Source organism: Homo sapiens, chromosome 16 (assembly GCF_000001405.40).
Source record: "Homo sapiens chromosome 16, GRCh38.p14 Primary Assembly".
Taxonomy (NCBI): domain Eukaryota; kingdom Metazoa; phylum Chordata; class Mammalia; order Primates; family Hominidae; genus Homo; species Homo sapiens.
In genome coordinates, this window is record NC_000016.10 from 48,996,170 (window position 1) to 49,007,333 (window position 11,164).

General features: G+C 46.4%; 1 annotated feature.

Moving 5' to 3' along the window:
- Positions 763–1,411: an enhancer, noted in NCBI's record as "H3K27ac-H3K4me1 hESC enhancer chr16:49030843-49031491 (GRCh37/hg19 assembly coordinates)". NCBI's record gives its function as "activates a minimal SCP1, AML or CMV promoter by ChIP-STARR-seq in primed H9 embryonic stem cells {active_cell/tissue: H9 hESC(primed)}" and the evidence as "EXISTENCE:reporter gene assay evidence [ECO:0000049][PMID:30033119]".

Here is an 11,164-nt window from a genome sequence, read left to right on the forward strand (position 1 = left end):
GGGGACAGATGGGGATGGCACCGGAGAAGAGTTTTGACGTACCCAAGGCCCCAGGCTGCCTCCTTCTTGCTCTGTGGCAGCCTGGTGTGAACAACGTAGAGTCTCCCTCATGGCCAAGGAAAGATCAGGAATGTGTGCTCTCTCAGCCTGGGCAAGATGGCGAAACCCCATCTCTATAAAAAATAAAAAAAATTAGCCGGGTGTGGTTGGCGCACGCCTGTGTTCCCAGCTACTCAGGAGGCTGAGGTGAGAGGATTGCTTGGGCCTGGAAGTTGGAGGCTGCAGTGAGCTGTGTTCAAACCACTGCACTCTTGCCTGGGTGACAGAGTGAGATCCTGTTTCAAAAAAAAAACAAAGAAAGAAAGAAGGTGAGAGACAGAGAGAGGGAGAGAAAGAAAGGAAGGAAGGAAGGAAGGAAAAGAAAGAAAGAGGAAGAAAGGAAGGAAGAAAGAAAGAAAAAAAGGAAGGAAGGAAGGAAGGAAGAAAGAAAGAAAGAAAGAAAGAAAGAAAGAAAGAAAGAAAGAAAGAAAGAAAGAAAGAAAGAAAGAAAAGAAATCTGTGGCCTGCAACTCAGAGCACCCCCTGCTTCTCAGCCCCACGGGGACCCTCCTCAGCTCCTAGGATGGGAAGACGACGGCCTAGAAGGTCCAGGCTGGAAGCCCATCCTGAGTTATCTGGTTCACTTGTGTCTCAGTTTCTGCCTCTGCAAAATGAGCTCACTGGGGTCACTCTTTGCTTGCCTTGCAGCACTATTGGATGGACAACCTAAGATAGGAGACTCAAGCAGTTTCACAGAGTTCTGGAGAAATATCAGGGCTAATCAATGGTAACCACTGGCAGAACCTGCAGGGTGGGAACCAGATCGGCGCTGGCTGGGCATGAGGAAGGTGCCTTGAACTACGTGGAGATTGGGAAGATTCTGCCTGACTTCCAGGAATAGATTTGAGTCTTGTGAGGAACTGGGGCTCTGAAATCATCCTTGTGTCACCATAGGCTAAGATATGTTGCAGTAAAAACAAACCTCAAGTCTCTTAGTGCCACAGAAGCTTATTTCTTGTTCACATGAACCTGGCTTCAGGTCTGGGCAACCATCCAGGGCCACCGTCCTCGATACCATGGGTCAGCTGTCCAGGGGAGGGAGGCTGCGGCTGACTGCCACAGGTCATCAGAGTCTCACCCCACCTGGAAGTGACATGGTCCTTCCACACTCATTGCAGCGGCCAAAGCGGGTCACATGGCCATACTCATGCTCAGGGGGCAGAGGCACTCCATGGTCCTGCGTGGCTGAAAGAAGAGGAAAGTGGGAAGTTTGGGAGAGCAGCGCTCACAGCTACTGTCCTCCTCTTGGGACTCCTCAGCTGTGTTCACAGGACTCCAGACACTGTCCATTCCCAGCCCTCCCTCGACTCAGGACAAAAGCCAGACCCTGCTGTAATGAAGGAGCTTTCCAGTTGGGCCCCCACTGTGTGTCCAGCCCACTCTCCCGGCAGCACCAGTGCCAGCCAGACTCAACTGCTTTAAGTGCCCTCCCCCTGCTTCCTTTCCTCCGTGGCTCTCAGCCAGCTGCTTCCACTTTTGGAACCCATTCCTTGACTTCACAGAATAATCCCTACTGAGGGCAAGCATCCCTGCTTTGCAAACCTGCCCTGCCCCGCCCCTGCTCTTCCTCTCTCCACCCCCAGCCTGGGCCAGCTGCTTCTCCTCCAGTCCTGACAGCGTTCAGGCCACTCTGCCACCTGCCCCCACAGCCCTGACCATGGGCATCCTGCCTCCTTAGCCCACATGCCTCCTTTGACCCCATAACATTTATCACCTTTTAACACACTACATATTTGTTTGTTTCTTATGCACGCTGTTTGTTTCCTGTCTTCTCTTCTGGAATCTGGACTCCACAAGGCAGGGATCTTGCTCTCTTTCATTCACAAATGCATCCCACATGCCTAGCATGGGGCCCGGCACTTATTAGGTGCTCAAGAAATATGTGCTGAGTGTCCCCAGGGAATGCCCAGCCATGCCTTGGCTCCCCCAGCTGTCTAGTCCCAGAGCATAGAAGCCTCTCTTTCCAGATCATCTTGCTTGCATTTAGAGGCAACTAAAACCCCTCTGAAAATGAAGGATCTCCTGGTCAGCGTGTCTGCCCATCAGGACATTAATAGTAAATGACAATGCCTCACTGAGGCCCACTGAGAGGAAGGGAATTGTTGAAGGGTGTTGCCACCATGGCTGCCTGCCTCTGGCCAGGGAAGTCAAAGGAAAGGCCGGGAGAGGCCTGATGAGCAGCCCAGTGGGAGGGAAGCCCAGGAGAACAGGGTCTCCAATCCCTGAATAATCCTTAAAAGGAGAGAAAGACCAGCTCTTTCTCATTTCCCCTGAATGGCAATGGCAGAGGCTGTCTTGAGGAAGTACAGATTGCTCTGATTACCAGATTTGAACCAGAAAATTAAAGTAGAGGCTAGCGATATAAAGAAAAAGACACACAGGCCAGGGGCGATGGCTCACACCTATTATCCCAGTGCTTTAGGAGGCCAAGGCAGGAAGATTGCTTGAGGCCAGGAGTTTGAGACCAGCCTGGGCAATGTAGCAAACCCCTTTTCTACAAAAAAGTTTAAAAATTAGCCGGACGTGGTGGCGCACACCTATAGTCTCAGCTACTTGGGAGGCTGAGGTGAGAGGATTGCTTGAGCCCAGGAATTCGAGGCTGCAATGAAATTGGGCTTCACTTTGTGGTCTTGGGTGGAGGGGACCAGACTGAGGGCTTGTCGAAGTTTTCTTACTATTTCCTATCGGTGTGAATTCAGCTTTCTCATCCTGTACATAACTGTCACATGCAATCTTAGGAACGCACTTTACTTCCCTCTTGCAGGCAGAAGACACATCTGTAATCAGCCTCCTCTGTTGGAGAGAAAATACCTGCATGAGCGAAGCGAATTGAATAGGGGGAGGAGAGCCTCTTTTTGCCAGCTGAGAGCCTGAGCCTGGCTCTGTGGAGCCACCTGGGCCTTGCATGGTGACAGGAACTCTTTGCTGACAAGCCCTTAGTCTGTGGGAAGGTTTATCTGCCAGCGCTTTAATAAACTCTTCATTATAGCAGCTCAAACCTGGTGACCTTTACCCTCTGTGGGGGCCTCCATGTGTCACGCACTATTTATTCACTGCCTCGAGACTTCCAGTCAGGAAGGTCGAGACCTGCTGTAATTTGATAAGCATTTGGGATGTCAAAGTACAGAATCCAGCTTCTTTTCTCCTTTGGACAACAGAAATAGTGTGCTGATGTTTGGTGTTTCTTCCTCTCCCATTCCTCTGCAGTAGTGATTATACTCTCATGGCTTTCTTTCTTTTGGTTTGTCACATCTGTGGATGAAAGGGAGAGATGGGCTTGGGTTTGGCCTCTGGAAGCATGTGAAGAGTTAGTCCTAACGTTGTGTCTTCTGTTTGCGTGATGCTCTGACCTTCCCAAGGGCCTCCACGTCTGTGTTTTGTCCTTACAGCTTCCCGGCCAGGAAAAGCAGGACAAGGCGTGTTCTATTTGCAGATGGAGCTGTTCAGGCTCAGAGAGGAGCTGTGATCTGCCTTAGCATCCAGAATGAGCTAAAGACAGACTTAGTGAGAACCCAGCTTGCCTGGATTCTGTTTACTAAGGTGTCTGGCAAATATTTAGTGAGTTGTTACCCTGTGCCAGGCATTTTTCTAGGGGCTGGAGAGATGCTGATGCAAAAACAGACAAGGTCTGTGCTTGAGTAGAGTATCCATCTGAAAGTAGAGGTAGATTTAGGATATTCTCATACTTTTCTGCCAAATGGTTGTGTTTTCCTAATTTAACTTTAAAACAAGGCTTAGGATGTAGCACTGTCACTTGGAGTCTCTCTTTCTTTCTCTGTTTTTCCTTTTCTCCCCTTTTCTCCTTCTTTTCCTCTTTCTCTTCCTTTTTCTTTTCTATTAGGACCTGCTGCGGAGGGTGGGGGGGGGTACAAATTTATTGCCACAACTGTCTACTTCTTTTCTTTCTTTCCTTCCTAATGATTTCAATACTTTTTGATACAATGCACCAAAGGCTTTTCTTGCACGGGAACAAAAGGTGAAATGTTAATATGATTTTATCTGGGCTCAGATTGGATAAGGAAGACCTTTTGTTTCCTACCTTTCATCTTCAAGTCGGCACTCGTTAATTAAATCAAGCCTGTGGAAAGTGACCTTTGGGGGATGGAGACTCCTGAGAATAGAATATTTTAATCAAAAATGGGCAATAAATAAATAAGCAAGAAAACAGCGGTTAGACAAGAAACACTCTGAAAACTTTCAGATGAGGGCTCTTGAAGGAAAGGTAATTTGCTTTTTTGGGGGGTGGTGAAAGTTCATACTTAGGTTATGAGCCACGACGGTCCTGCAAATGGGGCCACTTGGACAAAATCATTCACCCTTCCTTCCATACATCCTAGAACAGGGAACAGGCCCCTGCTGATTTTACACCCCCAAGACCACCATGGTGCTTTTCTTGCAGTCGGATTGCAAAAGGGGAAGCCCCATTTCTCTGAGCCCTTGCCTTACCTGGCCACAAGGGGGCGTAAAAGAGACCCTTTTTTTTTTTTTTTTTTTTTTTTTCCCTCTGCGTGCAGAGGTAACCTGTGAGGCTGCGCACCTCTGGGCCAGGTGTGGCTGATGGATGACTCGGTCCGCTGGGTTTGGGCGGACTAAAAGGGCGCTGGACATCTGCCTGCTCATGGGAGTCAGCCTCACCCCAAATCTGAAAATTCATTATGCTGGGGCAAGACAGGCTTCCGCTGTACAGGAAATAAATGGATGGGAGGACTGTGGCGGGTGAAAGTGTGGGCTTTGGAGGCTCTGGGACTTATTTGCTGTGTGATTTTAAGTGCACTAGTTAGCTTTTTTGAGTCTCAATTTCGTAAACTATAAAATGGGGATAATAATCTCACTTTATAAGGTTCATGAGAGGAGTCCATGAAATTATAAATATAATAAGTTGGCATGAAAGTGACGGGTACTCAATGCAGAATGGTCATTATGATGGCTCTGTCCCTCCGCAGCCCCACCCTGCCCACAAAATGTGCTGCCTGCAGAGAATCCAGGCATATCCCACTGCCTTTTTCATATTTTAACAGAAAGTTCTACTTAAATATACAGTAAGTCTTCTAATGGAAGTTGTCTTTTTTTCTTTTTTTTTTTGAGACAGGGTTTCACTCTGTCACCCAGGCTGGAGCACAGTGGCACAATCACAGCTCACTCCAGCCTCTAGTTCCCAGCCTCAGGCGATCCTCCCATCTCAGCCTCCCGAGTAGCTGGGACCACAGGCACATGAAACCACTCCTAGCTAATTTTTCTATATTTTTTTTTGTAGAGATGGGGTTCCTCCATATTGCCCAGGCTGGTCTCAAACCCTTGGGCTCAAGTGATCTGCCTCCCTTGGCCTCCCAAAGTGTTGTGATTACAGGCATGAACCACTGTGCCTGGCCAGAAGCAGTCTTTGAATCTAAATATATACATATGTGTGTGTATATATATTTATTCATGCATGCATTAACTACTGAGTGCCTAGCATGTGCCAGGTACTCTGGAGGCGCTGGGCATAAAATTGAGAGCAGAGAGCAAGCCCAGTGCCTGCCCTCATGGAGCTCCCAGTCTAGGCCAGTAATGTTCAATAGAATGTTCTGTGGTGATAGAAATACTTATCTGTGATGTCCAATATGGTAGCCATTAGCCACATGTGGCTACTGAACACTTGAATTGTGGTAGTGACAGGAAGTGTATTTTCATTTTAAATAGTCACACATGACTAATGGTTACTCTATTGGATGGTAGAGGTCTAGAGGAGAAACATGAAAATGTTTAGCACAGAGCCTGGCATACAGTCAGTATTCAATAAGTGCATCTTTCCTTTCCCTCCCTCCACTATGTGGCACCTGGTACCATGTTTGTTAACTCCTCTGCTGCTGTTACATGTTCTTAAGGATGAGTAAGGTCATCTCAAACAGACTCTAGAAAGATAGGCCTCACCGGGAGGCGGAGCTTGCAGTGAGCCGAGATCCCGCCACTGCACTCCAGCCTGGGCGACAGAGCGAGACTCCGTCTCAAAAAAAAAAAAAAAAAAAAAAAAAAAAAAAAAAAAAAAAAAAGAAAGATAGGCCTCAGTGTGGATTATTTATATGTGTCTTCCAGGATTTTGCACACAGTAAGTGCTCTTTAAATGCCTATTAAAGAGACAATATGGTGTAAGAAAGGGAACATGCTTTGGCACTAAGAAGAAATAAATTTATATCTTGGCTCCATCACTCAGCCGCTGCACAACCTGAACAAGTTACTCAAGCTGTCTGGGTCTCAGCTTTCTCTCTGTTCAATGGGGTGATGATGGGCTACTCTGTGGGGGTAGTTGTGAAAACAGATGAACTCATGCATGAAAAGAACCCAGCATGGATCCTTACACAAAGCTGCTCTCCAAACAGGAGAAAGCCAACCAGAAGACAAATGATGATGCTTCTTTGGATGTTCCCAGCTTCACAGATGTGGGCCCTGTAACCATATTCAATGAGTGTGACTCTGTTGTCCTGGCTGTGATGACTTGCTGAGGGATTAGCATCTGATTCTAGATAAACAAATCATATTACTTACCTGTTTGTTGTTGTTGTTATTTATTTATTTATTTTTACAGTAGATCTAAGGGGAGAAGTTCATCTCTTCTCTGCTGGTCCCAACCACAAGAACTTCTCATTACCAAGTTACCCCTTAGGTGGAGGAAGCTGGTCTGCAGTAAGAAATAATAAAATCAACAACGCATGCAAGAGAAACTGTAATACATAGTGGGAAAAGGCATGTAAGTCCTGGAAATGTTCACGCCCTGACCCCTGACCCCTGATCCAGCCTGCAGACCCAGCAGAAGCCCTCCCAGGTCACAGGAGGCTCCTTACTCATCCTTCACAGACATTCTCCTTTCTGCCTGAGCAGATTTGAGCTGGGTTTCTCTCACTTGCAATGAAACAATTTCTAATCAAAACAGCAATCATCCAGACATGCCGTCTGTCTTCTATTCATCTGCATCCCATCAGAACTTTGCCTTGAATTCTGTCCTGCCTTCTCTTCCCACATCTGCTGTGGCATAACTCAGAACCTGGAGTGGTTTCGGGGCTGGGGAGAGTGCTATGTCCCTGGGAGTTAATTAGGGCAGTTGGAGTCATTTTCTGTAGTGTTTATGTGATGTTGCCTCAGGACAATTTAGTAGCAAAAGAGCAAATGCAGGTGTCTCTGAAGTGCCCCTCAGAGAGGCAGCCCCATGTGTGCAGCAGAGAGCAGGCTGAATCAGGAGACAGAAACACAGGTACAACGTCCCCGCCTGAATGCTCGCCAGTATGAACTTGGACAAGTCATGGCCTGGGCCTCAGTTTCCTTGCTGGCAAAATAGAGGTGATAATATATCATGCATGTCTCATGGCAAGTGCTGTGTGTTTAGATAGAATTCATAAATTCAACACACCTTTATGGAGGGGCTGCCCTGAGCCTGGCACTGTGTGTCCATGCAGAGCATTTTGAGAACTGTAGGCTCTCATCCATCTTCATCCCCCCTCCGTTAAGGAAGAACTGGGAGGTGCATCTGGGGAGGACAATCTTTACCTGTCCTTTCTCAGATATCAGATGAACCAAGGAGGCAGTGGTCTCATAGCAGTCTCTTAACTTACGTGACAACCAAACGGCTTCCTCCTGAGACCAGCTCACATCTTGGGCTCACCTTTCCCTGAGATGATCACCCCAGCAGGCGCCACCCACTCTGTTCCCTACTGCTGAGTGTGGAGGCCTCCTTCCCTTTCTGGAGATCCAGAAACAAGAGGCTTGCTTCTCCCACAGTCGTATAGTTTCTTGCCCCTGTCTTCCCTTTCTCAACTGGCCAAAGCCAGGATCATTTTTGCCTTGGGCCCTGTTGCGTCTTGACCTTACATGGTCACGGTTTCTGGGTCCTTCTCTGAGTATTCCCAGCTGCAGCTGGCTGGCTCCAGGCATGAGCAAAGCCACACAAACTGAGAGCTGGCAGCCCTGCCTGGGTCCTGGTCCTGGCTTTGCTCTCAGACCTTGGGCACGTCATATCTCACACTGCCTGCTCCTCAGAGTCCTCATCTATAAAACAGGGATAAAAATACCTGCCCTTCTGACCTCACAGATAGGAAATTAGATTAGAGCTGTGAGATGCAGCAAAGCACTATGTGACTGCAAGGTGCTAGTATTATTTTTTATATAACCTTAAAAATCTTATTACAAAAGAGATATATGCTTATAGGAGAAAACTTAGAAAATGCAGATAAGAGAATGATGAAAATAAAAATGGTCTGCCATCCCATCATCAACAGAGGAATGTGTAAATAATTCAGTGGATATCATTCTAAGATCTACACCTATTTATTTGAAATAGGATCATACTTTTTGTGCTATATTTGCAATCTGATTTTTCACATAATAGCAGGTAATCACTGGAGGTATGCCCTGCCAGAAATTAAATGTGTAGGATTTCCTTCCTCAATTCAGAGCCAGAAAATCACCCTGGAGTTGTTGAAAGTCATCTTCCCCGTCCTCCAAAGAGTAGATGTTCCACATCTACTTGACTCACTTGGGACCCTCATTCCAGAGGAAGGGCTGTGGCACAGTGTCTGGGGAAAGAGGGTTATATAGTCAGACCCTTGGTGCTTTCAGAGTAAAGAAGGAAACCTGCTTGTTCTCTAGAGGAGGGTCCCTGGGAGGTAGGGGTTGGTGGCCCTAGTATAGAGAGGAGGTAAGAAATGGATCCAAGGCTGACCCTGCATCCCTGGAGCTGCCTAAATCCCTCAAGGTGGTGGGGGACCAGGAAGAAGAAAAGTGATCTGCACTCCTGCATGTAAAACTCTAGAGACCCCTGGGCCAAGCTTGGCACTGAAGGAGTGATATTGCTGTCTCTCCCTCAAGAACAAGACGGCCTCTACAGTGATCTAGACTAGGAAGAGATAGTAGCAGCAGCTGACCAGCATTCAGCTCAACACAGTGTTGGATGGCCCACAGCAGTGGTCCTCAGATCCTTCCCAGAGTTTTCTCCATGTGGAGAGCTGGATAGACCCTCTGTTTCCTCTGGACTGCATTAAGTCCCCAGGAATCCTGGACAATTCATGATTGGTGGGGACCTTAAGAGGGAGAGAGTAACTCTTCTACCAATTACAAAGGTGAAGCATTGAACAACTAGTTAGAAAAGTGTAAGAGACATCATTACTTGCAGTGGGTTGAATGGTAGCTCCCAAAAGATATGTTCATCTAGAAGCTATGAATATTTCCTTATTTGAAAAAAGGGTCTTTTGCAGATGCAATCAAGTGAAGATCTCGAGATGATGTCATCCTAGATTTATGATGGGCCTGAAATCCAATGACAGGTAACCTTAAGCAAAACAGAAGGATATTTAAGACAAGGCAGGGGGAATGGGTGGGGGTCACCAGAGGGGTATGGCTTGGAACACCCCAGTCCCTAAACTGGAGAGCAGAGTGAGAAGGGTGTATTTGGAGCTGAGATTCAGCAGGTGTGGTATCTGGCACAAGAGCCAATGGTTCTGTCTATATCCACTCCTGGTTTTACAGTGTTCTAAGGACACTGAAAGTATCTTTTGGGCTTCCAATAGATCCATTTTTGTCAAGGCAGCCAGGGTTGATTTTTATTGCTTGCAACCAAAAAACCTACCAGGTACAGATGTTAGCTTATGGGGTCCTGACACAACTCCATGAAGAAAGTAGATAGTGTGATTCCCCTTTTACAGATGAGTAAACTGAGGCTTGAAGAGGCTAAGTCTCCTACTCGAGCCTTGATATGGTTTGGCTCTGTGTCTCCACCCAAATTTCAAGTTGAATTGTAATCCCCACAAGTTGGAGGAGGGGCCTTGTGGGAGGTGATTGAATCATCGTGGTGAACTTCTTCCTTGCTGTTCGAACTATAGTGAGTTATCACAAGATCTGGTTGTTTGAAAGTATGTAACACTTCCCTCTAATTCTCTCTTCCTCCTACTCCCACCATGTAAGACGTGCTGGCTTCCCCTTTGTCTTCCTTCATCATTGTAAGTTTCTGAGGCCTCCTCAGCCATGCTTCCTGTACAGCCTGCAGAACTATGAGTCAATTAAACCTCTTTTCTTTATAAATTACCCAGTATCAGGTAGTTCTTTATAGCAGTATAAGAACGAACTAATACAAGTGTGGTCAGTGATGGGGTTAGGGCTAGATCCAGTTCTTCATCTAAGATCTTTCCTCTCTATTTGCTTCTTACCTGGCCTAAGAGGACCGGAAAACAGAAGAAGCTCCTGAACTTCTTCAGGATTGATGATGAGCTCCACTTTTTGCAAAAAGTCTGTGTATATTCCTTGCAGTCAACTGTTGCAATGAGTCTGTTTAAGCCAAGTGTTGGTCTGCCCACCTTGATGGAAGAGAATTGAGTGTAACAACTTTAAGTTGTTGAAGCAACAACAATTTAAGGCAGTTGAATTTGAGATAAGAGGCCTTTAAATTTATTCCCAGAATGACTTTGAGATAAGTCTGAGAGACAGGGAATGTTGCTTTCCTTCCAAACCCTCTCCTGCCTCATTTCTCCAGTAATCTCTCAAGTGTCATGAAAAAAAAAAAAAAAGTGGGAAAGTTTGTTCCCTATGAGGGCTCTTTCCTATGGATTCAGGGTGAAGCAAGGGTTTTCAGTCCCTGAAATGAATCTTTTTAGGCATTCTTGAAAGTTGGCCATAAAGACACATTGTAGGGTAAGGTGTCTGCGCATACTCTGAAATGGAATAAAATCTCTTCATGGTTTAGAAAATAAAAAATGACTGAGACACCTTCTATTGATTTTCCTCCCCTCATCTCACGCCACTAGGTGAATAAATTATTCTTAGAGGTTTTGTACAAATTACTCAATAAAGTCACAAGCAATGCGCCTGGTAAATGTGGTCTGCTTTGATTCCAAATTTGTAAGGCAGGAATTGCTTTTAGAAAAGACTTTATGGGTCATGGAATCCAACTGTCACTGCACAGGTATGAACAATGGGAACAGAGATTGGGAGACTTACCTGGGAGTCGCAGAGCAATTTGGTGACAGAGCTATTAGCACTCAGAACATTGGGCTGCACCATAGTGTCTCCACATTTGCAGGTATGTGAGGTAAGAAGGAGTCTTGGG